Source organism: Homo sapiens, chromosome 7 (genome assembly GCF_000001405.40).
Source record: "Homo sapiens chromosome 7, GRCh38.p14 Primary Assembly".
In the NCBI taxonomy this organism is placed as follows: domain Eukaryota; kingdom Metazoa; phylum Chordata; class Mammalia; order Primates; family Hominidae; genus Homo; species Homo sapiens.
The window spans coordinates 48,035,168-48,061,375 of record NC_000007.14 but is presented as its reverse complement, the minus strand read 5'-3'; the positions used below and the strand labels follow the sequence as shown (position 1 = coordinate 48,061,375).

General features: G+C 43.3%; 2 protein-coding genes across 11 annotated transcripts in view, besides 5 other annotated features; one reads left to right on the top strand and one right to left on the bottom strand.

Annotated features, from left to right (window-relative positions):
• Positions 1–78: 78 nt before the first annotated feature.
• On the bottom strand, positions 79–25,833 carry C7orf57 (chromosome 7 open reading frame 57). 9 transcript variants are annotated; one of them, NM_001100159.3, is made up of 9 exons: positions 25,746–25,833; positions 25,013–25,168; positions 19,857–20,042; positions 17,787–17,895; positions 14,760–14,916; positions 11,399–11,496; positions 8,453–8,676; positions 6,770–6,781; positions 79–1,150 (listed from the first exon to the last, which is right to left on the bottom strand). In NM_001100159.3, exons 2-9 carry the CDS (start codon positions 25,065–25,067, stop codon positions 1,104–1,106), a joined length of 888 nt encoding a protein of 295 aa, NP_001093629.1. In that variant the 5' UTR covers positions 25,068–25,168; positions 25,746–25,833; the 3' UTR covers positions 79–1,103. The 9 variants fall into 9 exon arrangements, with proteins under 9 accessions (NP_001093629.1, XP_011513423.1, XP_047275841.1 ...); XM_011515121.3 differs by having other exon boundaries at positions 25,013–25,083; XM_047419885.1 differs by lacking the exon at positions 6,770–6,781.
• Positions 11,183–11,683: an enhancer, noted in NCBI's record as "H3K4me1 hESC enhancer chr7:48089290-48089790 (GRCh37/hg19 assembly coordinates)". NCBI's record gives its function as "activates a minimal SCP1, AML or CMV promoter by ChIP-STARR-seq in naive H9 embryonic stem cells {active_cell/tissue: H9 hESC(naive)}" and the evidence as "EXISTENCE:reporter gene assay evidence [ECO:0000049][PMID:30033119]".
• Positions 11,819–13,018: an enhancer, noted in NCBI's record as "P300/CBP strongly-dependent group 1 enhancer chr7:48087955-48089154 (GRCh37/hg19 assembly coordinates)". NCBI's record gives its function as "activates an origin of replication core promoter dependent on BRD2, BRD4, P300/CBP, MED14 and CDK7 cofactors, with strong dependence on P300/CBP, by STARR-seq in HCT116 cells {active_cell/tissue: HCT116}" and the evidence as "EXISTENCE:reporter gene assay evidence [ECO:0000049][PMID:35650434]".
• Positions 19,717–19,894: a silencer, noted in NCBI's record as "fragment chr7:48081079-48081256 (GRCh37/hg19 assembly coordinates)". NCBI's record gives its function as "represses an EF-1alpha promoter that drives an FKBP-Casp9 reporter gene in an ReSE screen in K562 erythroleukemia cells {active_cell/tissue: K562}" and the evidence as "EXISTENCE:reporter gene assay evidence [ECO:0000049][PMID:32094911]".
• Positions 22,186–22,687: an enhancer, noted in NCBI's record as "OCT4 hESC enhancer chr7:48078286-48078787 (GRCh37/hg19 assembly coordinates)". NCBI's record gives its function as "activates a minimal SCP1, AML or CMV promoter by ChIP-STARR-seq in primed H9 embryonic stem cells {active_cell/tissue: H9 hESC(primed)}" and the evidence as "EXISTENCE:reporter gene assay evidence [ECO:0000049][PMID:30033119]".
• The window catches only part of SUN3 (Sad1 and UNC84 domain containing 3), a 48,755-nt gene continuing 48,020 nt past the window's right edge, over positions 25,474–26,208 (top strand). The window contains exon 1 of one of the 2 annotated variants that reach the window (XM_047420114.1): positions 25,474–25,557. The gene's annotated coding sequence lies outside the window, so the exon portion shown is untranslated. The remainder of the gene's footprint in view (positions 25,558–26,208) is intronic. The other variant, XM_017011930.2, reaches the window with a different exon arrangement.
• Positions 25,675–25,954: a silencer, noted in NCBI's record as "silent region_18171". NCBI's record gives its function as "represses an Ori minimal core promoter by ATAC-STARR-seq in GM12878 lymphoblastoid cells {active_cell/tissue: GM12878}" and the evidence as "EXISTENCE:reporter gene assay evidence [ECO:0000049][PMID:35858748]".

Genomic DNA, 26,208 nt, shown 5'->3' with positions numbered 1-26,208 from the left:
TGTCTGGGAATGAGGTAAGGAAGGAAGAGAATATAGAGAAAGGAAGAGAATAGGAAAGGGAAAAAACAAACTTCTTACTCTAATTGTATATTATTTTTATTCAATGCATACAGCCATTTGCATTTTTTACACATTGCATACATTCTCCTGTAGCATATCAGTTTGATCAATGAATATAAATATATATGCTCGATTAAGTATCTCATATAGAGAACTAATTTGAAACTTAAATTTTAGGTAAGCAAATGCATGATAAGTTTATTCTGGGAAAGAAGCTAAAATATCTGTGACTTTATTTGGCTTTTTGAAAACATTCTCACATAAAATTATTATTTTATTAATCAATTAATGTACAAAACATAAAACTATATTTTTAAGCTAATTACTTAAATATAAACAATTTAACATTTATAAAACAAGGTAATTCAGTTTGACTATTAAAAAGTTTTTGTTAATTCTACTAAATTAAATATTAAAACAGCATATTTTTACTTAAAGGTTTATACAAAATAACAAATGTTTAATATTTTGAATATCAGTTTGTGAAAAAATAGCAAAAATTTTAAAACAGCAAATGTTATAATGTTTTATATTAAATGTTTATAAATTCATGGCATAATAAATTAAAATATGTTTCTTAACATAAACTGTATCACCATATTCTGGAGTTAAATTTTTCTGTAACTAGAAATGATTTCTATGAAGACTACAATACTAAATATTGGAAAAGGCTTAACACCTGTTCTGTAAGTTTTCTCTAGTTAAGAATCCAGTAGCAATGCCTGCTAAGAGTGGTTCACACAATAGGAGGAGCAAGTGATCAGTTCTGAGACACTGGGACATCACCAGGCCAGCAGGGCAGAGGGTACCAGAGGCCTTAGTTGTGTTTGTTAGCCAAGTGTTTCACATCCCAGAGAAATGCAAGAAACAAAAACCAACACCTGCCCCTTCTATGCAGCAATGTCAAATCTGCTGCAAGGTAAATTATTCAATGAGAGTCTATATTAATAAAATACAAAAAAAGCCTCAGAAATATAGCTATAATACAGTCATGTCATATTTAGCCATTTAAAAATTATCCTAAATACATATTGCATCAGGATTTATTTGAGCTCTGCTGGTGTTGATGCAGATACAGATTCTTCTGGGCCTGCAACACAAAGTAAATAAATGAGTAGACAAAGATGACATTTTCTATAAATTAAAAAACATTAATTTTAAATATAAGAAAACACATAGTTTTGTACCTATTAATAAGGATTATTTCTGAAGTCTACATAAAAATTGAGCTTATGATCCTGGCATAAATAATACATTGGAAACACAAGATTACAACTTTTGCACTGGTAGACCAGAAGAGAATGCCCCATTGGAAACAGTTCAATTCATGAGTTTTGCCTGTGTATGGTGGAAAGTTTCTGCTGACATAAGCACACCGATAAGAATTATTAAATAAATAGTATGAGCACAGCCTGGGCAAGGCGAGTAGAGAAGAGGGGCAACTCAGGCTGTCTGTCAGCCTCGGCATGGCACGTGTCCCTGCTCCCAAGCCTGTTGCAATCTTCATTAATGTTGACCCTCTCAAAGTACAGTAGTGTACCAGTTTCCTAATGCCCAGCTTTAGGGCACGTCAAAACATCTAGGACAGCTGAAAAAAATTGCAATAAAGAAATAATAATAATCTTGTGTCTCATGGAGGGAAAGAAACATTAAGAAGAAGCCTTAGGCTGGGTGTGGTGGCTCACGCCTATAAACCCAACACTGTGGGAGGCTGAAGTGGGTGGATTGCTTCAGCTTAGGAGTTCAAGACCAGCCTGGGCCACATGGCGAAACCTCGTCCCTACAAAAAATACAAAAATTAGCCAGGCATGGTGGCATGCACCCGTAGTCCCAGCTGCTCAGGAGGCTGAGGCAGAAGGATCACTTGAGCCCAGGAGGTCAAGGCTGTAGTGAGCCATGATGGCACCGCTACACTCCAGGCCCGGCAACAGAGCAAGACCCTGTCTCAAAAAAATAAAATAAGAAGCCTTGACAAGATTAGTCTCCAGAAAGTTATAGCAACACACTCTAAGTGGAGAGATGTCTAGTTGGAAGGAAAAAAGGCACTTTCTAAATTGCCTATTGCTTATAAAGTTAAAACCATGAGGGACAGCAGGGGAAATAGGAAAACAGAAGAGGAAATGAAATACAGGAAGGAAAATAGTGGTCAGACTGACAGTGGAGAGAGTGTGGTTGTCAAAAGCTCTAGCACTAGCCTTGGCATCAGAGATACTGAGAGGTGGGAGCAGGCATTTCATAGTGACCCCCGCCTCAGCTATCCAGAAACTAAGCAGAGCAGATCCTCTTCTCCACATGACGATTCTTCCAGCTCTTAGGGGCTTTGCTGCTTATTTAGGCCTTCATTAATTTGAAACGTTAAAAGGTTTCTTCAAAATTGAACAGATCTTGCTGATAATATAAACACAAAGATTACATAACACCTGCAATATAAAGTTTATACATTTATATGAATGCCAAATGATCGTCCCTTGATCAGATAATATGTAATACTTTGTCAATGGTGAAGTAAATTCTATCTTCTTAAGACAATGCAGAATAATAAAACCCTTATCATATCTTATGAAGGTGATCTTCTGTACCTGCTGTATTTGTATTTTCAACTTGAGGTCCTAAAGAATAATCTAAGCCCAAGGTTAGCAGAAGAAAAGATAGAAGAGATAAAAAATGTTAGAGTAGTATTTTTATTATAAACAAAATTGACAAATATTTAGCTAGACTAAGAGAGGAAAAAAGAAAAGACTGAAAAAAATAAGAAAAGAAAGAGGAGACATTGCAACTGATACTGCAAAACACAAAGGACCACAAAGGACAACTGTGAAGGATTATACACCAACGAATTGGATAGTCTAGAGGAAATGGATACATTCCTAGAATCATACAATCCACCAAAGCTGAATCATGAAGAAATAGAAAATTTGAACTGTCTAAGAATGAGTATGGAGATTGAATCAGTTAAAAAAAAAACAACTCTCCCATCACAGAAAAGCCCAGGACATAATGGCTTCACTGGTGAATTCTACCAAACATGTAAAGGAAGAAATCATACTAACCCTTCTCAAGCTGTCCCAAAAAAATTGAAAAGGAAGGAACACTTCCAAACTCATTTTATGAGGCCAGCATTACCCTGATACCAAAGTCAGACAAGGACACTATAAGAAAAGAAAATTACAGGCCAATTTCCCTGATAAACATAGATGCAAAAATTCACAGCAAAATACTAGCAAACCAAATTCAACAGCACATTAAAAAGATCATAAACCATGATCATGTGGAATTTATCCCTGGTAAGCAAGGATGGTTCAACATATGCAAATCATTAAATGTGATATACTACATTAATAGAATGTTAATATACTACATAATATATCATTAAATGTGATATACTACATTAATAGAATGTGATATACTACATAATAGAATGAAGGACAAAAACCATATGATCACCTTAATAGATGTAGGAAAAGTGCTTGACAAAGTTCAACATCCTTTTATGATAAAAAAAACTCTCAACAAATTAAGCATAGAGGAAATGTACCTCAACACAATAAAGACCATACATGAGAAGCCCACAGCTAATATGATATTCACCAATGAAAGCTGAAAGCTTTTTTTCTAAGATCAGGAGAAATACAAGGGTGCTCACTATCACCACTTCTATTTGACTTAGTACCTGAAGTCTTAGCCAGAGCAATTAGGCATGAAAAATAAATAGAAATCATTCAGATTATAAAGAGACAAGTGAAATATTCTGTTTGATGACAATGTGATCTTATATATAGAAAGCCCTAAAGACTCCACCAAAAAACTGTGAAAACTGGTAAACAAATTCAGTAAAGTTGCAGGCTACAAAATCAGCAGACAAAAATTGGTAGCATTCTATATACTAACAACAAATGATCTGAAAAAGAAAGTAAGGAAACAATCCCACTCTCAACAGCATTAAAAAATACTTGGGAGTAAATTTAGCCAAGGAGGTGAAAGACCTGTACACTGAAAACTATAAAACATGGATGAAATAAATTGAAGAAGACACAGATAAATGGAAACATAGCCTACATACATGGATCAGAATAATTAATATTGTCAAAATGTCCATACTACCCAAAACAATCTACAGATTCAATGCAATCCCTACCAAAATTCCAATGACATTTTTCACAGAAATAGAAAATAAATCCTAGAATTTGTAGGGAACCACAAAAGGCTCTGAATAGCCAAACCAATCTTGAGCAAACAGAAAAAAAAAAAAACAGATATATGGCATCATCTGATTTCAAAATATATTACAAAGCTAGAGTAAGCAAAACAGCATGGTACTGGCATAAAAATGGAAGTATAGATCAGTGGATAGAACCAAGAAATAAACCCACACATTAACAGTCAATTAATTTTCAACAAAGGTGCCAAGAACACACAATGAGGGAAAGGACAGTTTCTTCAATAAATGATGCTGGGTAAACTGAATATCCACATGCAGAGAAAGAAAATTGGATCTTCATCTCATTTAATATACTAAAATCAACTCAAAATAGATGAAGACTTAAACAAAAGACCAGAAACTGTAAAACTGCTATAGGTTGAGTATCCTTTATCTGAAATCCTTGGGACCAGAAGTGTTTGGGATTTCAATTATTTTTAAATTTTGAAATATTTGCATACTTACTGGTTGAGCATCCCAAATCCAAAAATCCAAAATCCGAAATGTTCCAATGAGCATTTCCTTTGATTTCAGATTTTCAGATTTGGGATGCTAAACCTATAGAAAAAATATAGGGAAAAACCTCCCCAGCATTGGTCTGGGCAATGATTTTTTGGACAGAACACCAAAAGCCCAAGTAACAAAAGGAAAAATAAGTGGGACTACATTAAAAAGTTTCTGCAAGCAAAAGAAACAAACAACAAAAGACAAGCCACAGAGCAGGAAAAATATCTGGAAACCATACATCTGATAAGGGGTTAATATCCAAAATGTATAAGGAACTCAACTCAGTAGCAAAAAAACAAATAATCCAATTTAAAAATGGGCAAAGGACTTACATAGACATTTCTCAAAAGAAGACATGCAAATGGCCAACAGGTATATACAAAAAAGCTCAAAATCACTATCATCAGGGAAATGCAAATGAAAACCACAATGAGATATCATCTCACACCTGTCAAAATGGCTATTATCAAAAAGATGAAAAGCAAGTGTTGATGATAATGTGGAGAAAAGGGATCCCTTACATACTGAAGGTGAAATGTAAATTAGAATAGCCATAATGGAAAACATTATGGAGTTTCCTTAAAAAACTAAAAATCGAATTCTCGTATGATATAGCAATCCCACTGCTGGGCATATATCAAAGGAAATGGAATCAGTATGTCACAAAGCTACATCTGCGCTCCCAAATTTTCTGCAGCATTATTCACAATAGCCAAGCTATGGAATCAACCTCACTGGCCATGAACAGATGAATAAGGAAAAAAAATGTGGTATATACATGATGGAACACTATTCAGCCTTTAAAAAAGAAGTAAATTCTGTCATTTGTGACAACATGGATGAACCTGGAGTACATTAGTCTAAGTAAAATAAGCCAGGTACAGAAAGACAGATACTGTATAATTGCAGCCATATATGGAATCTAAAAAAATTGAACTCATAGAAGTAGAATAGAATGTGTTACCAGGTGCTGGGGATGGGGCAGTAGTTGATGGGGTAAGAGGAGAAGTTGGTCAAAGGGTGCCAAGTTTCCCTTAGACAGGAGGAGTTAAGTTTTAATTATCTATTTCACAGCAAGGTGAATAAAGTTAATAATAATATATTGTATATTTCAAAATCATTAAAAGAACAGATTTTAAGTGTGATCACCACAAAAAAAGGGTAAGTATTTGAGGTAATGGATATTTTAGTTACCTTGATTTAATGATGCCACAATGTATACATATATCAAAACATCGCATTGCACCCCATAGTTGTATACAATTATTATCTGTCGATTTAAAATAAAATAAAAAGTAAACTAAAAAATAAATTGGAGTCTCCGATGGCTTTTTACTTATGTTTTCCAGTATGACTCTCACATGACGAGTAATACAATGTGTGTCCATGAACTAAAGTATGTTTTTGCTTGTGTAACATGAATAAAAGAATAATAGGCCAGGCGCGGTAGCTCACGCCTGTAATCTCAGCACTTTCGGAGGCCGAGGCAGGTGGATCACGAGGTCAGGAGATCGAGACCATCCTGGCTAACACGGTGAAACCCCGCCTCTACTAAAAATACAAAAAATTAGCTGGGCGTTGTGGCGGGCGCCTGTAGTCCCAGTTACTCGGGAGGCTGAGGCGGGAGAATGGCGTGAACCCGGGAGGCGGAGCTTGCAGTGAGCGGAGATCGCGCCACTGCACTCCAGCCTGGGCGACAGAGCGAGACTCCATCTCAAAAAAAATAATAATAATAATAATAATCATCATCATCATCATCATCATCTTCATCCTGTTGTAATTGTGTAAGCGATCCTCTTTTTGCTCTCCCTAAGTTAAGTTTCTGGAACTCTGATTTTTTTAAAGCATACATGGCACAAGCTTTGTAGTCAGAATGCATGCAGTTTGGAGAAGGACATTCCAGGCTGCCTAGAGGCTGTAGTCTCAGAATGCAGGACTATGTCCATCAATTTCTTTGTGTAAGACTTTTTGTGTTTTGGTGCTGGTTACTTTATAAGTACTCACTTTGAGAAGACTCTGTAATAAAAAGTACATTCGTTGTTCAGGTTAATGAAACAGATCAAGTATTAAAAGAAGTCATAATTACTTAAAGATTTAATGAAAATTCTGTATTACTTAAAACAACAATAAGTCATAAAACACTCTTGACATTGTAAAGTTCAATAGGGCAACAAACCTTTTTTTTTTTTTTTTTTTTTGAGAGAGTTTCCCTCTTGTTGCCCAGGCTGGAGTGCAGTGGCACGATCTCGGCTCACCGCAACCTCCGCCTCCTGGGTTCAAGTGATTCTCCTGCCTCAGCCTCCCGAGTAGCTGGGATTACAGGCATGTGCCACCACTCCCAGATAATTTTGTATTTTTAGTAGAGACGGGGTTTCTCCATGTTGGTCAGGCTGGTCTCGAACTCCTGACCTCAGGTAATCTGCCTGCCTCGGCCTCCCGAAGTGCTGGGATTACAGGCGTGAGCCACCATGCTCAGCCAATAGGGTGCTTTTTAACAACACTGAGTATGAACTTGTCACCATCTCATCTTCCAGGATAATAAAGGAGAGAGTTGGCCAATAAGTGGCAGATCTTGTTCAACAAATACAGTAAGGAACAGGGTGTAGAATGGCAAACGGTGACCTCACTTACAAATAACCACACCACACCAAACACTTCAAATGTCTGAAGAGGTATAACACGCCATCTTTCCTCTTAATCAAAGAGCTCAAGCCTCAAGAGTAAAAACAGGTTTCCCAGAAGCAAATGGTCAATAATTAATAGAGCTATGGATACTGAACACAATGTCAATAGGCTTTAAGATGGATGTGTTGAAAAAATAAGATGAATTCTTTCTGTACTATTAAAAATAAAAATGAATGGCTGTGCACAGTGACTCACACCTGTAATCTCAGTACTTTGCAAGGCAGAGGCAAAAGAATTGTTTGAGCCCAGGAGTTTGAGACCAGCCGGGGCAATATAGTGAGGCCTTGTCTTTATGAAAAATAAAAAAATAGCTGGGTGTAATGGTGCATGTCTATAGTCCCAGCTACTTGGGAGACTTAGATGGGAGGATCGCTTGAGCCCAGGAGGTTGAGGCTACAGTGATCTGTGATTGTGCCACTTCACTCCAGCCAGGACAACAGAGTAAGACTCTGTCTCAAAAAATAAATAAATAAAATAAAATATTATAATAAATAAAAACTAATATAGTACTTTGAACATCTAATTGTGGAGAAAGTTCTAAATTATTCAAAGCTTAAGACATGCCAATAATGGAGTAATTTTAAGTTTGAATTTTGACTTATTTTCAAAGCTTTTTAAGAAGTGATCTCAAAAAGTACCGGCTGCTTATGCAAAAGTCCTTTTAGGGTCAACATTGTTTGGATCTGGAAGATTAAAAGTTGATACTATTTGGTATATTATTTGTTTGTTATATCAAATGGACTATCAAAATTTTTGACAAATAAAAGAAAATGTGAAACCCCAAAAGTCATGACTTCCGCTATTCATTTGAATAAAGAGGAAAGAGCAAAACATGTATTACTCTCTTGCTTATCTGTAACCTTAGTACTTCTGTGGGCGTTTTCACATGGTTTTTGGGTTACTCATTTCTCATTACGAGACGCATCATGTGATAAGAACGTCAGCTGCTGCATCACAATTAACCAAGCCTCCAATAAATGCAGATGGCTGCTTGTGCCTCACCTGGGGTGTCCTCAGGACCTTCAGAAGCCTCTGCATCCTGGAGCCTGGCTGCATCCTGGGGACCTTCCAGGTCTCGTGGGGACTGAGATAACACTGATGCCCTGGAGGTCTTCGGGGTCCTCTTGTCTGAGTCAGCTCGCTGCTGCTGCTGCAACCACTCATCCTTATAACCATTGCTAATGAGTTTGGAAAAATTGGTAGGTGAACTGTTTTTTTGACCAGGCCTTAAAAAGAGTAAAAGTAATGTGAAACTTAAGTACAAGGGTTAATGATAAAGCAGAAGCAGTATTCCGTGAACACACCAAATAGGAGGTGTCACTGTCCCTTTAAACCTAACAAACCTCTCTCTCTCTGTCTTTCCCTCTCTCTTTCTCCCTCTATCTCTCTCTGCCCCTTTGTCTCTCCCTCTGCTTCTCTGTCTCACTGTCTCCATTTTTAAGCATAGCAAGTGCATGTCAAAGCATCCCTTGTACAGGGATGAGAGCATGTTTAGTTCAGCTTCCAAAATCTTTCTTTGTGATAGTCAATTAAGAATTAGTAATAATTCTAGTATTTCACAGGGAAGCCTTCCTAAGAAAACACCATGCCCTTCCCTCATAGTAATGGATTGCTCAGAACTACCTTTAAAAACAAAACAAAAAACAACAACAAACTGCTGGGTGCCGTGGCTCACGCCTATAATCCTAGCACTTTGGGAGGCCAAGGCAGGCAGCCATGAGGTCAAGAGATCGAGGCCATCCTGGTCAACCTGGTGAAACCCCGTCTCCACGAAAAATACAAAAATTAGCTGGGCATGGTGGCACGCACCTGTAGTCCCAGCTACTCAGGAGGCTGAGGCAGGAGAATTGCTTGAACTTGGGAGGCGGAGGTTGCAGTGAGCCAAGATCGTGCCACTGCACTCCAGCCTGGGCAACAGAGCGAGACTCTGTCTCAAAAAAAAGAAAAGAAAGAAGAGAGAGAGAAAAAAAAAAGAAAGAAAAAAAGAGGAGAGAAAGAAAGAAAGAGAAGAGAAAAGAAAAGGAAGGAAGGAAGGAAAGAAAGAAAGAGAAAGAGAAAGAAAGAAAGAAAGAAAGAAAGAAAGAAAGAAAGAAAGAAAGAAAGAAAGAGAAGAGAAAAGGAAGGAAGGAAAGAAAGAAAGAAAGAAAGAAAGAAAGAAAGAAAGAAAGAAAGAAAAGAAAAAGAAAGAAAAGAAAAAGAGAAAGAAAGAAAGGAGAGAGAGAGAGAAAGAAAGAAAGGGAAGGAAGGAAGGAAGAAAGGAAGAAAGGAAGGGAGGAAGGGAGGGAGGGAGGTGGGCACAGTAGCTCATACCTGTAATCCCAGCACTTTGGGAGGCCGAGGCGGGCAGATCACTTGAGGTCAGGAATTCGAGAGCACTCTGGCCAACATGGTGAAAAACCATCTCTACTAAAAATACAAAAAATTAGCCCACACAGTAGTCCCAGCTACTCAGGAGGCTGAGGCAGGAGAATGGCATGAACCCGGGAGGCAGAGCTTGCAGTGAGCCAAGATTGCGCCGCTGCACTCCAGCCTGGGGGACAGAGTGAGACTCTGTCTCCAAAAAAAAAAAAAAAAAAAATTAGCCAGCTGTGGTGGCAGGCACCTATAGTCCCGCTACTTGGGAGGCTGAGGCAGGAGAATCACTTGAACCTGAGAGGTGGAGGCTGCTGTGAGCTGAGTTCGTACCGCTGCACTCCAGCCTGGGCAACAGAGCAAGACTCCATCTCAAAAAAAGTGTAATGATTACTTTCTTATTGGTTCTTTCTTGTCCTTATCAATGATTATCTGCTGCTATTTTACTCTCTTACACAGGTTTGTCTCCAGTCATTTCTTGATGTTAGCTTAGCCTTTCACCATCTACTGCATCTTCAAATATCTTATCCTGACCCACACTGAAGAGTGACAGGGCAGTTTGACACGGTAGAGGTAGTGTGAGCTTTCAGCTCGAGCAGTAGCAGCCCACCACCTGTTCTCTCTAAGCCTCCATCTCAGCACTTTGAGAGACAGAGGCAGGAGGATTTTTTGAGCACAGGAGTTTGATACCAGCCTGGGCAACATAGTGAGATCTTGTCTCTACAAAAAATAAAAAATTAGCTGGGTGTGGTGGTGCATGCATATAGCCCCAGCTACTTGGGAGGCTGAGGTGGGAGGATTTCTTGCGCCCAGGAGGGGTTCAATCACTTTGTTATCAAGGCCACTCCTAATGCTTTATTTTCTCTCTCGTACATCTATAAATACATGTCTAGGTATACATATATACTTACATATATATAAACACATATGAATACATGTATATTTCCCTCTGAGCTTGGTGCTCTCATGGCATTTGTCACAATGCAATGTATCTGATTGTTTTTTCCCCATTGGACAAGAAGCTGTTTGAAGAATTAGTCAGGTAATTAATAACATTTATCCTAGCATTAAACTTGGATTCTGGGAGAGTAAGAAGACACCTAAGGCCTCAGGGATTTCACTCTGCAGCTGGAGGATCAGCAAATGTCAGTGTGTCTGCTATATCTTCCAACTGGAAACAGAGCCAGCACGCTTACAAGGCGCGGACACCTCAGTTCAGGCCTTGGACACAGAAACGTCAGGACCTGGTGGCCCCTACATGCAGGACAAGCAGTCCCCGTGAACTGTGGTGAGGGTGGTATCTTGGAGGGGGAGTGCTTCAGGCAGGGCACAGCCTGATGGAGAAGCAGAGCCTCCACACTGCCAACCTGCAGCAAGCATGACCTGGAAGGGCAGATGTGTTCAACAGGGGCAAAATGACATTAGGAAGGAACAGAAACCACAGTGAGGAGGCGACAGGCACAGCCAGGCCAGGCCACAGACAGGGCTTCGGGAAGTTGTGTGGATGCTGTCACTAGCGCAGTCATCACCGGATGAAAGACGGAAGGCCAAACCCAAACCCAGTCCAGACAGTGAGGGCGTAGCTCAAGCACTTACACGGGGGGGAAGGAGAGTCTACTTCCTGCAGGATTCTTAGGGCCAAGTGGGGTGCCTGCTTTGCTCAGATACTTTGAGTCAATGGCCGGTAGCCTCAGCTGTGTGAGGAAACACACAAAACCTTGAGTTAGTGGAAAGCATTCAACAGCTAGAGAAGAAAACTCACTAATGGTAGCAAAGATACAAAGCTTATAGGCTGGACTTTCAATGTGGTCATTGTAAATGCTCACAATAAAATATAATTCAGCAATAATCTCATTCAACAAAATAGTTATGTAAAAGGGACTATCACTAACTCAAAAGCAGTTGCTATATTTGAGTAAAGATGCCATCTGCTCAGGAGGAAAAACAATGAACTAAGAGCCTCGTCCTGAAGGAACTTCCCACACCCAGATGAAAACATATGTTCACAAAAGCACCTGTACGCTTTTGTAATAATCACCCAGAACTGGAAACAACCCAGATGTCCACCAACAAACGAATGGATAAACAAATTGTATCATGATCAGCCAATGAAACTCAGCAACAGAAACAAATGAACTACTGACACTCAGAACAGCATGGCCATGCGTATGTAATGTAGATGCATAATGTAAATGCATTACACCACATGGGAGAAGCCAAGCAGGAAAGACGCCATGCCGTATGATTCCATTGATTTCACATTCTGGAAAAGGAAGTGTAAGAATTAAAGAAAGAGGAAAGAAACACGAAATGCGGCGTGGCAGTCAAAGACAGGTTTTCTTTAGTTAAAACCTGAGAGGCACTCCTGGCTGATTGTGGTCAGGAGCACTTTCTCTTACAGACTAAAAGTATATATCAGTTTTGGGGTGAGGGGGCTTATCAGAAGCTTGGAATGTTTATGTGTGTGGAGAAGTTCATGGCTGGGTTGGAATCTCTCTGGGAGGAGGGGAGGTTATCTTGGTGCAGACATCTTTCAGCCCGGAGGGGGGTTAACTCGGGCCTGGCATCTTCCTGGCTGGAGAGAGCTTATTTAGGGGCTACCATGTCTCTGGTCAGGGAGGAGTTTGGAATGTTTCTGGTTGGAGATGTTACCTATGGTTCATGGTCGTGTTGACCTTAGCCATTAGGCTGATGCCCCTTGGATTTAGGCGGTTTTTTTTAAGGTGAACTTTTAGAATGAGAGGCTTGTCCAAGATGGCGATGTTCCTGCACTGTCCAGAAGAACTATAAAGACTGAAAACAGATCAGGGCTTGCAAGGGGCAGGGGAGAGGCTGACTATAAAGAGGGGTAGAAATGCTGGGGGCAACAGAACTGCTATATGTTCCTTGACAGCTGTGGTGGTACACAAGGGACGCCTTAGTCAAAACCTGGGGAGCAGTTCTCTATAAAAGGTGGGTTTCGCTCTACCTAAATTGTTTCTTATTAAAAGAAATAGAAATACATGCTATGGGAAAACGGGAAAAAACAAAACGAAGCAAACAAAATCCACGGAGGTATTGCTAACAATTATAGGAAGAAAAGATGGCTTTTCAAAAAAAAGAAACAAGATCCCCCGATCACCCTGTAGGTGAGCAAGACCCCCATGAATGCTGGTAACCAACAGGCAATACATGTGCCCTAAGTCTTGTCAGGTGTCCACCATGTGTCCCGTGTGAGGCCAGGGCACAGCTGAGGAAGCGCTTTGTCAGCTGGCCCACGCCCATGATGTGATCATCACTCATAGGTGACCTTCATACCAAAGCGGTGATGGTGTTGTCTTATTAGGGAAATCAGAGCCCATCCCGATGCGGTGCTCATCCCCTGCACCTTACCCGACACCATGTCCCTCTACCTGTTAAATACTCAGCATGTGTGTCTTTAACCACCACCCCTTGTCATCCTATCTCCTTCCCCATAGTGAAGGGCTGGCTTCAGGAACTTTGTGTAGCCCCTAGCACACCTTTTGTAAATGGGTACTAACTTAAAAACCCCACTTGATTTGAGAGTGATACAGCATTTAGCATTTTAAGATTTCTGTAGAAATGAGCTGTAGCCACGGTTAATATCCAAAGGTTCATTTATCACTAGAGGTTGTAGCTCAGTGTAATTGGTCACTTGTGCAACACTAAGAGATAAATCTAATTCTTAACATGGTCCATTTTGGCTGAGTGTCTACGGTAGTATGCACCTGTAGACCTAGCTACTCGGGAGGCTGTGGCAGGAGGAGCCCTTGAGCCCAGGAGTTCGAGGGTGTAGTGAACTATGATAATGCCGCTGCACTCCAGCCTGGGTGACAGAGCGAGAACTTCTCTCTAATTAAAAAAATAAAATAAAAAACAAAAACAAAAAAACAACAATAAAAGGTCTAATGCCTTTGCACGGATCATGGAAACAACCCAAAATCTGAATCACAGCCGGACATGGAGATCTTAAAGAAAAAGCATGTGGCCCATTGCAGCCAGTTGACATTCCACTTGGTGTTCAGCTACTCAAGTCCCCAAAATAAACTGAGGGGTTTCCCTTCAAACCAAGATGCTAAGGCAACAGCCTAGGAATCAGGCATAAATAGTTCACAACAACTTCCACGTACGCTGAGACACATCCAGTCTCTTCATTGTTCAAAATGATCACCCATCAGGTGACAACGGTGTTCACTCTTATTCTCAGTATCAAACACTATTGTTATTTGTAATATGAACTTCACCGTTTCACTCACAAACCCTGAAGTTGCAAGAACTGAGACTAATCTGAGACCTGGTGCTGATGCCCCGGGCAACACTGAGCCCTTGGTGGAGCTGAAGGCCTGGCTCTTGTTCCTTCCAGCACCAAGGAAAGGGGATAGAAGGTCCTCCTGTCAAGACTTCCCAACAACAGAGCTGGCAATTCAAGATTGCTTCCAACTTTCTCCATTGCATTCTTAAAATACACATCCTCTGAGAAGGCTTCACTGCACAGCCAGTCACTCCTTTGTGATCAAATACACCACCAGGACTTCATACAGAAGAGAATTCATCTTCTCTTCCTTTATTATCAACAAAGAGTGTCCCAGAAAACTCTTAATACTTAAATAAATGAAAATATTCAGAAATGGGATGACTAAATATAAAATTCCTTTTCTATATTGGCCTGATAAGAAGTGCTATGCCAGTTTTCCTCTAGATAAGCATTAACTATCTATAAATCATTTAGCAAAAAGAAATCTTACCTCTTAAAGTCATTATTCATAAAAAGAAAAAGAAAGACCATAGTATGGTGCCTGCTTGCCTTTTAGTAGATCCAAACTTAAAATACAGAGCACGTGGCCGATGCCACGAGCAACATAAGACGCCACCAGCAGCTAACATCACAGCACTTAATTACTCGAGACCACAGAAGCAAAGCGGATGCGGATGCCGTCTATTTATGGGCTCCCGTCACCTTTTTTTTCTCCTTTTCAAGTTCCTCAGCCTCTCTTTGCCAAACTGTTTTCATGTCGAAGTCGAAGGGCCCTCTTCTGGATGCATAGCTACCATTGGCTTGATCGGGGTTAAATTCTTCATGAACCATGTAATCCGGCATGGAGACAGCCCGCACTCTGCAAGGACAGACACCAGTTACAGCCTGGTGCTCAGAGCCATTTCCACTCCCTCCCTTCCTTCCATCTCCATCGCTGGCTCTCCCTTTCCCTCCCTCCTTCTGTCTCCCTCCTTCTCTCACTGTCTCCCTCCTTTCCTTTCTCCTCTCTCTCTCCCTCTCTCTCCCTCTCCTGCTCTCTCTCTTTCTCTCTTTTCCTCTTCCTCTTCTTTCCCTCTCTTTCTCTTTCTCTCCCTCCCTTATTCTCTTCTCTTCCGTCTCTCTTGACATCAGCACTACCCATTCTCCTTGAAAACACAGACGGGCCCTTCCCTCCTGTGCCTGCTAAACAACACACCAACCCCTCCAGGCCCTGCGTCCCAGGATCAGGAGGCCCACTTAGAAATCACAAGGTCTCAACGTTAGTAAAACGAGATATACTAAAATATGAATTTATAAAACGTACCTTATAAAATAATTATTTCTTTTAGGATAGCATCTACCACTTTGACCCCTTAAAATAGCTAAACACCCCTAAACATTTACCATTTAACATGTTCATTTAAAATAATAATAACATGCTCTGTTTCCTGTTGGATGGTCATTTTTAATGTGAGTATTTAAACTAGCAACCAGTCTTCCCATATAGGCAGCGCACACAGGAGGGGCATCCAAAGGCACTAGAATGCTTCAGCCTTCAGATCCCTGAAGGTACCATCTGTACACATAACCAGGTTTGAACAGGGAAGAACACTGGATTCAAGTTTGACACGGCAACACAAACCCCCCATGCAGTGTCTGAGGGGCTGCAGGGATGCCCCCATGTCCTGCTCCTCATTTGTACTTGTTCAGGGCTCCAGGATGCTGAAAAAAGGCCCCAGCTGCAAAGTGGGCACCAAGGGCAAGGTCGAGGCGTGGGGTACTGGGCACCACTGCAGCAAAGCACCTGAAGGAGGTGGCTGGGGGCCTCCGAGAGAGCGAGTGAAGAGGCCAGAGAGCAGCGGTCAGAGGCTGGAAATGCAGGCTTGGAAGGTGGACGCAGATACCCAGTAAGAGAAGCCATGAGTGTGGCTGAGCTGCTCAGGGAGCACAGGTGTGAAAAGCGGCACCTCTCCCCAGGCCTCCCACTTCTGATGTGGTCTCGGCAGGAAAAAGCCCACAGAAACAGATGAGCATTGAAAACAACAAAGGGAGGGACAATTAAAAACAAAAAGCATGTTAAGTTATAGCTCCTGGGTTCCCAGATTTTCAGTGAAGGAAGGATTTCTCCTGAGCTTCCCACTCTTCATCCTCTGCCTGTCCCAGGACCTGGAGCAGGTGGTCTGCGGTCCAGAGGAGGACAAGGTCCCAGGAGGACGGAAAACACTGAAGGCCCCAGAAGTAGATCATCCTAGAAGGCTTGGACAATTGGTAAGGACATATGGGGTGGGAGGAGACAGCAAAGGGACAGGGGTACCAACAGTCTGGAAGAAAAAAAGCAGAAGGAAGGGAAGAAAAAGTCCATGTGGCAGTGTGCAGAACATTCAAGTAACACCGGATAACCACTTGGAAATATATTTGTGGTAGTCCTATTTTCAAGCCAAAAAAATGGGGAAATGGCCTGAAATGATTTTTCATTTTACCTCTCAATCCACGACAGGTGGTTCTGGAGATAAAGTTTGCATGTCCACAAATAGAAATTTCTTAGACATTTCAAATATTATGGGAACGATGGCTCCCCATATCTCAATATTGAACATAGAAATTTAGGATTTCATGTATTTCTAGCTTTACCTAGTGCCTTTTGTCTTTAATGAGAACCCTTTGGGATAGGCTGCTATTTCTACATCAGGAGGATGTGGTCAGTCCTACTGAGAGACAGGACTAGCTGGATTTCCTAGGCCAGCTAAGAATTCCTAAGCCTAGGTGGGGAAGGCGACCGCACCCACCTTTAAACATGGGGCTTGTAACTCAGCTCACACCCGACCAATCAGGTAGTAAAGAGCGTTCACTAAAATACCAATTAGGCTAAAAGCGGGAGGTAAAGAAATAGTCAATCATCTATTGCCTGAGAGCAAAGGGGGAGGGACAATGATCGGCATATAAACCCAGGCATTTGAGCCGGCAGTGGCAAACCCCTTTGGGTCCCCTCCCATTGTATGGGAGCTCTGTTTTCACTCTATTAAATCTCGCAACTGCACACTCTTCTGGTCTGTGTTTGTTCCGGCTTGAGCTGAGCTTTCACTCACAGTCCACCACTGCTGATTGCCTCCGTTGCAGACCCGCCGCTAATTTCCACCTCTCCGGATCCGGCAGAGTGTCCGCTGCACTTCTGATCCAGGGAGGCACCCACTGACGCTCCCCATCGGGCTAGAGGCTCGCCATTGTTCCTGCGCAGCTAAGTGCCCGGGTTCGTCCTAATGGAGCCGAACACTAGTCGCTGGGTTCCACGGTTCTCTTCCGTGACCCACAGCTTCTCATAGAGCTATAACACTCATGCATGGCCCAAGGTTCCATTCCTTGGAATCCGTGAGGCCAAGAACCCCAGGTCAGAGAACAAAAGGCTTGCCACCATCTTGAGAGCAGCCCACCACCATCTTGGAAGCAGCCCGCCACCATCTTAGAAGCTCTAAGAACGAAGACCCGCCGGTAACACTACAGTGCAATTTACCGAGAAGGAGCCCAAAGACACAAGACTCTAGGGTGGCACAAAATGCCACAGGTTTCCAGAACTCTGGTTTTCTGACAACTTAGGCTACATCCCTCAAAGAGCAGGCTATTGTAAAAGAGAACCTGAAGTTGTCATATCACATGCTTGCTACCACTATTAGACATTTGTATTTTTAAAATTAAAATTGGGCTATTTTTTTCCTGTAAAGATAAACAAAAATGTGAGTGCTTTAAGGTACTTACTCTTGCTGGCTGGCTGTCGGTGGCTTGCTGTGGTGGATATACCAGTCTGGCAGGGAGTAGGCCACTGGAGAGCCTTTCCTGGTTCCAGGGGCAAAGTGCTTCAACAAATCTCAAAAGAGAAAATGACATGGCTGTGAGACACCCCGCCGCCCCTACACAGACGCACAGCATTGCCAGTGATAGGCTCAATTTACAAGGCGAACTGTAGGTCTCCCTGTAGTTGCCTCTGGGATCCAGGGACTAACAGAGCATCCCTGATCCTCACCTGTCTGTGCACAGGCTGACAGGTGGGCGTCCTGCTTTGTGCTCAGGCAGGGACATCCTGTATGCCTCCCCACATCTCACTCTTTGCAGATCTGGACAGAGCTCCTGGTCTTGAGCTGCATCTATGCAGGCCAGCATCTACCAGCTCCTGGAGGGGGCCCATCCCTCCACTGCTCAGGTCTCCAGGGGCTGCACATGCTGGCTCCCTCATCCTCAGCTACCCCCACACCGTTCTCCTAGCATAGGACGGTCTGACTGTCCTCTGCCACTGTGGAGCTGTCCCTAACCCCACCCCTACCATTTCCAGGAGAAGCCACACCTCCAGGTTTCCAGATGGGAAGTAGGATACAAGCCCCTGAAAGGTACCTGGGAGATTTCACAGTCACCTTGGAGCCAACCCTGAGAGGCACAGAGAGCACAGGCTCCTTCTCAGAGGCCCAGGCCAGCTCCGGACTCACCCACTTGCTTTCTAGCTCCCCACACTTCCCTCCCCCGGTTTCAAAAGGCGGGGAGTGGGAAGAACTGACTTTCTTGATCATAAGGACAGCAAAATGATAGCAGTGCCTGTGGCAGTAGCAGACAACTTTGGTTGACCTATTACTATCAGTAAGAAAATTTTAACTTTTCTTTTTTTTTTTTTACTTTTAAAGCACTTTTCATTGTTAAATGTTTCAGACTTACAGAAACATTGCAAGAATAGTATGAGTTCCCCTATACCCTGACCTAGGCTCCCCAAACAATATTCTACCACATTTGCTTTATGTTTTCTCTCTTTGTCTGTCCCTCTCTCTCATTATTATTTTTATTGTCGTTATTGTTTTCAGAATCACTGGGCAGCGCGTTGCAGACACAATGCCCAGTCCTCCCCCTATACCTCAGCAGATGCTGCCAAAAGACATTCCTGACATAATCATGGCACAATGATCACACTCAGGAAACTACTATTGATGCAATTCTTTTATCTGATTTACAGACATTCAGAGTTTGTCCCCTTAATGTTCTTTTAACCAACAGCAGGAGGAGGTGAATCTAAGAAAAAATGTCTAGGTCTTGTTCTCTGAGCATCACACCTAGTCCATCAAATTGTTTGGTCCAGGCTTTTTAATATTAAAGCAAAGATGTTGCCATTTTGCTTCCCATTTTCTCTCTGACAATCCCCACAGGGGTAATGGCAGCTAAAGGGGAAAAAAGGTTAGTGTCTCTCCAAGTCACTGACCACAAGGCTGGCTCTGAGACATTTTAGACTCTGATCAGTAATTTCTATTGAGCTCAAATAACTTAGTTTTTAGCATAGTTAAGCAGTACTTTCTCAATTAAATCATGTATCAAAATTTGGTCCTCGTCAGTATCACACTGAAACTCCTCTATGGTCTTCATTTTCTAAAACGTTTTCATACAAAGGACAAGCCGCAATGAGAATAAACAACAAAACCTTTTCACAATTAGACAAGAATTGGTAGCATGCAAAGACAGATTCTCTCTTGGAGGCAACTTCCTGAGATTCTCTTTGTAATTAGAATATAAAGTGGGTGAGGGAAGGGTTGAATCATCGCAAAGGCATTACTCAGAAGAAATATCCTACACAGGAAATTCTGTGAATTTGGCCTATTTATTCTAGCATCATAAAAATTAGCTCATCCCTGGAGATCATGCTCATCCCTACACCTAATTAACCTAGCTTTCCCAAGGCCCTAAGCTAAACATACAGACTCTGTAGTAATATTTTTATATGGAAGAAATTAGGAACAAACGCCCCCCTCACCGCCCGCGAGGCTGCCACACTGAACAGGGCAGGAGGGGGCTCACCGGGCCTGCCACCTTGTTTCGCGAGCTTCACATATTCCGAATCTGTTTCTTTTATCCAGTATCTCCGAGTCCCAGGCAGGTTCTCGCTGTGTGAGTCTCCCAAATTGCTGAGACCTGGGATCTGGGACGCTGGTGGGGCATCCACGGCCTTCTCAGAGCGCTTCACTGGGACGTGGTAATACCAATCTATAGAGGAGAGAGGCGGAGGGCCACACTGTTGCTGTGTGTCGGGGTGGCCTCTAGGCCTCTACCAGAGTATCTCTATGCAGACAACACCATCAGGTGGGGCAGTGCAAGCCACAGAGCCCATTAGCAAGGAAGAAAATGCCCTCTTTTGGGTTACTGACGTGAGTCATAACACCAGCTATGCAATCCAGTCTCTACTGCCCACCAAGATGCCACCACTGGCACCAATCAAGGGGAAAGCTGCTAGGGCTCAGCCTCTTTCATGGGTGCTTTCGCTTCCCAGGGAGGTACCCAAGCCCCATGATGTCTCTGTCTCTCTCTCCTAATCCTCCATAAAAATAAGACAACAGTATTTCTGGTTATGTTGGGGAATATACATTCCTGAAAAATCCCAAATCACTTAAAACGTTATGGGTAAGCCTGTGGAATACATGACTAAATGTTGACCAAGATTTGCTAAATTTAGTATGTTAAAAATACTGAAATCTAAGTTCTGTCACAGAAATAACAGCCTGTTTGAACACATTTACCAATAACACAAGAGTGAGAAGAGGTAGGACTGGGGAGTGGTCAAAGAGGCCTGTCCACCGAGCAATGGCACTCGAATCAGCTCGGCAGCCTCTCTCCATATGAGCGAGTACAGTGTGAGTTCCCCCATTCTCTCCACCCAGACTCCCCACATGAGAATTCATCTCACCTTATCACTCTCCCTCTCCCTCTCTCCTTGTCCCTTTCATTATTATTAATATGTAATTACTGTTTTCAATCATAATGGCTTTGCTCATGCCTGAGGCCAAAGAGGGCTGTGAAAGGTGGCCAGAGGTCTAGATGGTTCCTGAAAAGTGGCGGAAACAGGTGACTTATGTGTTATGGAAAAACATCTCAGCTGGAAATTCAGAGATTCCTGAGGTGACTGGGTGTGGCTCCCTTGAGAAAGATCAAGTTGAAACACAGTGAGTGTAGATTGTGTGATTTCTATTGAAAAAGGTCCCACGAAGAAGCCAGGCACAATCGAGTGGAGGAAGAGAGCGGTTCTCTGTCCATCCTCCCTTCTTGATTGGAGCCCATGCAGAAAGGTGCTGTGGACAGAGGAGCTGAACATGGGCCTGGTGAAGCCATGAGGCTCCCTAAGGCCTTGAGCTGAGGGTATCCAGGACAGGCCCTGCAGGCTGGCTTGGGACCACCCAGGAGACTCCCTGGAGTCCTACTGGGAGTTTCTGTCAAGTGAGTTGGCAAAATCCCAGGGACCTGGAGTTATCAGTGTTTATTGATGACCCCCACAGAGAGAAGAGATCTGGGGCACTCAGACAACTGAGGTTCTAGGTAACTATTTGAATCTGAAATTGATTAACCAGATGCCCAAATGTAAGAAAAAAAAAACCACACCTGATTGAAAACTTTAGAAACAAAACCCAGGAAGAATGTCAGATACAAAAGATGCAATTAATGTGACACAAGTGACTGGGTGTATTCAATACCACTTATCAGAACGTACTGTCACAGGGGCAGTATGTTCAGAGTCTAACACAATATCCCCTTCTATTCAATACCACTTATCAGAACGTACTGTCACAGGGGCAGTATGTTCAGAGTCTAACACAATATCCTCTTCTTGGGTAGGTATAATGTCTAATTTTATGTGTCAACTTGGCTGGACCATGGTACTCAGATATTGGTAAAGCATTATTTTAGCTGTGTCTATGAAGTTTTTTAGATGAAAATAACATTAAAAACGGTAGAATTTGAGTGAAGTAGACTGTCCTCTATAATGTGGGTGGGCTTCCTCCTATCAGAGTAAACCAAAAATAAACTTCTAAGCCCCCCACCACCCGCCAGCTGACTGAATGAATCCCCCCACTCAGCCAAGAGCATTCCAAAGTAAACCTGAAAAATTAGTTCAGGCCATAATGGGAAGGAAAGCTGGACGTGCCTCCTTATACCCTCCTTCCTTTGGAATTCAGGCACAGCAGACCAGCATTATCATTAAAACAGAGATCTTAAGACTGAAAAAACAGACTCTCTGTGGCAGTCAGAGACCAAATTGCAACCTGACTCTAGTATAGCATCACATGACAGATAGCAGGTCCTGAAAGAAATTGAAATATTTTACCCCAATATAGACTTCTTTGACATAGTTCGAAATGGTCCTACAAAGCTGTCTCTTGTGGGGAAAATCTACATTCTGTAGAGAATCCCCTTCCTTTTCCAGCTCTTTTCCTGATCCAGGAGAGAATTAACTGAGTCTGACACTTTTTTAGGTCTGATAAGAGATGTTCACATCTACTCTCTCTGAAGTTGGCTACCTGGAGACTTCATCTGCATGACAAAAACCTTAGTCTCCACAACCCCTTATCTTAACCCAGTCACTCCTTTCTATCGATTCCGTGTCTTTGGATAATAACTTGCAACCAATTACCAATCAGAAAACCTTTAAATCCACCTATGACCTGGAACCACCCCCCACCCACATACACACACATACTTGGAGTTATCCCACCTTTTCAAACTGAATCAATGTATACCTTACATGTATTGATTGATGTCTTCCTATAACTTCTGTCCCCCCAAAATGTATAAAATCATGCTGTGACTCAACCATCTTGGGCACATATTCTCAAGAACTCCTGGGGCTGTGTCACAGGCCTTGGTCACTCATATTTGGCTTAGAATAAACCTCTTTAAATATTTTACAGAGTTTGACTCTTTTTGTGGGCAGTTAATTGAAAGTCTTAAGAGAAAAGAATGAGATCCCCCAGAAAGAGGAAATTCTTCCTCCAGACCACTCTGAAACTCAAACTGCAACATCAGCTCTTCCCTGGGTCTCCAGCCTGCTGGTCTGCACTGCAAATTTCGAACCTTCCAGACTCCACAATTACGTGAGCCAATTCCTTAAAACAAATCTCTCTCTCCCTTTCTATCTATCTATCTATCTATCTATCTATCTATCTATATGTATATAGAAAGATAGACATGGATATGCTGTTGGTTATTTTGGTTTGGAGAATGCTGACTATTACAGTAGATGCACAGGAAAATAGTACTGAATAAATTGATTTATGTAAGCACAGAGAAATGAGAAGTAACCATCCTTTAAAGCTAAAAGCTTAGACATTGAATTTTTAATGGATGGTATTTAATACAGACAATCTTTTAAGTATGTAAAAGACATTAAATAGCTGAATCAACACTATATGGTTTCGAAAAGGAAAGAAAAAAATTGGAAAAGATTTAAAGAATTGCACAAAAGATCACAGAGAATCAATTTAAGAATGAATAAGAGAATTTAGCAGCTTCATACTCCGATCATATTCAGTTCAAATATTTTCTATTTGAGAGAAGGCGTTTGATTGTTGCATTATTTTTCCGCTCTGTGTTTTGATTACTAATTAATCCACAGAGAACAGTGTGTCTTCTACCTTCTTCTCATTACTGGAAGCTGTGGACAGGCACTGAACTCGAATCTGGTTGGCCATTTGTAAATGCATACAAAGGAGGCACTCAGAGAATGAGGGCCTGGATCAGTAAGAACCATTTGTGACCACCTCACACACACGCACGCGCGCGCACACACACACACACACACAGAGGGTTAAAGGGACTAAGAGTTATCTCAGCTTTTATCATGCAAAAAATTGTTGGCACTTGTACAATATCAGTCATTTACTATCCTATAGATTTTTTATATATATATATAGCCTTCCCTGCCTTCTCATTTGCCATATATTAGTACTCTTATTTAATCAGTGAGGAAACACAGTCTGTGACAGTCTATGAGATGAACTGAAGATCCCCCAGCTCTTCTGGTCTCTAAGGCACAAGGCAGTGTGTTATATGTTCACATACCCGCAGGGGCACAGGCTCCTGCTTTAGGCTGCTGTGGCCTCACAGAACAGCTGTGGAGCCACTTACGAAGTGTGTGACCTTGGGCAAATTACTCCAAACTCTATAAAATGGGGGTAATGTTACCTTGTAGCATTGTTATGAGGTTAAATGAGTTAGTGTATATTAATACAAAGCACTTAGAACAGTGCCTGGCAGTTGTTAGTGTTCCTTACTGCTGTTCATACAGACAAGGTCACTAGAAGGCACCCAGAAGTCACATAAAGGCTCCAGAGCCTACTGGGAAAAGGCAAATCAGCCAGGCCTTCTGTGCTGTCCCCTTTCCAATCCCCAGCATGGCCACACTATCTTCAATAGTGGTCACAAGGTAGAGCTCTGGGCTAGCAGCATGTTTAGAGTATGAAGAAGGGTCACATTTGGTTCACTTCTGAGCAAATGTGCTGGCTCCAGGGTGCCGACCAGCTGCAACTCAGCTGTCCCAGCTGATCCCCAGGACCCTCTTCTCTACCCTCCTACAGCCTTTCACAAATAAAAAAGCAATAGCAAAAGGAAAAAAAAAAAACCCAGAAGACAGCATCTCAAGACTTCTTCTTCCTTCCCCTCTCCTCCACTTCAAACCCTGGCACATAAGAAGACATGAACCTCACTGAATTCCTTTTCCTGTATCCAGACACTAAACCCAGAATGTATATTTAACTTGCTTGGGGTCTAAAGTAGGAGCAAGGGCTAGGGATTCAGTGAAATTCCTAGGGGATTCTGCTAGAGAAGAAACTTCCCAGGTCAACATTCAGGAACGCAGTTGTGAGAATTGTATAGGGTTGAACTATGACAAAGAAAATTTCCAAGGGATCCTGTTGCTCCAGATTGAACCAAGATAGGTAGCCTTGGTTCTCTCTTGTTGAAAATAAAGAAAAACAAGACTCCCCCCACTCATATTTAAGTCTTGATTTCACACTCAGGCACAGGAGCAGTTTGTGGCTTTCTTTGACTTGTTAGTTTTATCACTTGGTCCTCCATCGTTCACACCCCCCTCCAGCCCACATAGAGGACGTTGGGTCCACAGCGTGTCTAGCAAGCAGAGTGCACGCACCCAGCTCTTTCTGGCCGGGACGCGCTCAGGGCGCACTCACCGCAGGGAGCGTAGCGGTGCGTGGCGCCCTGAAGTTCCTTGCTTGTGTTCCTCATGGTCAGGCGCTGCACGCTGCGGGAAAAGACAGATGCTGCCGGACCTGGTGTTCGCGGGTGCGCTGGACGCTGCCTGCTTGACCAGTTGCCAGGAGCTGCAGCTGCAAAAGCAAAATCCGCGCGCCCGCTCTGGGTCGGTCTGTACGCCTCGCCCTGACACGCCTGCAGGCGCCTTACGATCGCCTAGCGCTGGCACTTCCATGCAGGGTATACAGCAGGGGGCATGTCCACGCCAGGTAAACAGAAGGGAGCACATCACGCCGGTATACAGCAGGAACACACGCACGCCGGGTAGACAGCAGGGCACGTCCACACAGGGTACACAGCAGGGACGTACGCACTCCGGGTACACAGCAGGGGCACATTCACGCGGGGTATTCAGCAGAGACACGTGCGTGCGGGGCACACAGAGGGGGCACGTCACGCCGGGTATCCAGTACAGGCACGTCCACGCCAGGGACACAGCAAGTACAGAGAGGATAAGCAACAGGTAACCAAGGGGCCGCGGGACTTGGGCAGGCTTGGAGATCCCGCCCTGTGCTCATCCCAACCCGGCGACAAGGTGGTCCCCTCCCTCCAGCCCCGGCGCGCACTGCCCGCACTGCGAGCTCCGCACAGTGGACAAGGCCCGGGACCACAGTGGGCGCCCCCATTGTCCTCCAGCCCGCTCAGGCTCACCAGCTCCCCGCGGGTCTCCGTGGGTGCTGCCCGCGGCGCCCGGCGTTGGAGTTTTTACACGGCTGGCTGGCTGCAGCCAACCAAACCCAAACTCCCAGCGCGCCGCGGAACCACAACATCGGCGTCGCCAGGGCAACGGCTGAACGGCCAACCGGCGGGCGCGGCTGGAGCACTGTCAGCCAATAGGGGAAGCCTGAGGGGGAGCGGTGGGCCAATCAGGGCAGGAAGCGGAGCGCGGGCGCCGCCTGTCAACTGCCCGTAGCCCAGAGCCGGACCAGGGCAGGGCAGCGCAGCGATGCCACGGGGAACCGGGCGGGACGCAGCGGGGGTGGGAGCAGGGCCTTACTGTTGCAGGGGTGTGGGGGCGTGGGGACGTGGGGACGTGGACGCAGGAAGAGAGTCAGGCCTCAGTCCTCCTCATGCCGCTCTGGCTGGGAACCACAGTTACTGTAGAGCGGTCCAG

Bases quoted from the DNA above. Each gene is read 5' to 3' on its own strand.
- C7orf57 (NM_001100159.3), bottom strand. From the start codon at position 25,067: ATGAGGAACACAAGCAAGGAACTTCAGGGCGCCACGCACCGCTACGCT. The intron at 20,043-25,012 runs GTGAGTGCGCCC...TCTCCTCTATAG, and splicing joins GCACCGCTACGCTCCCTGCG to ATTGGTATTACCACGTCCCA. The intron at 11,497-14,759 runs GTGACGGGAGCC...TTCCTCACACAG, and splicing joins TTGAAAAGGAGAAAAAAAAG to CTGAGGCTACCGGCCATTGA.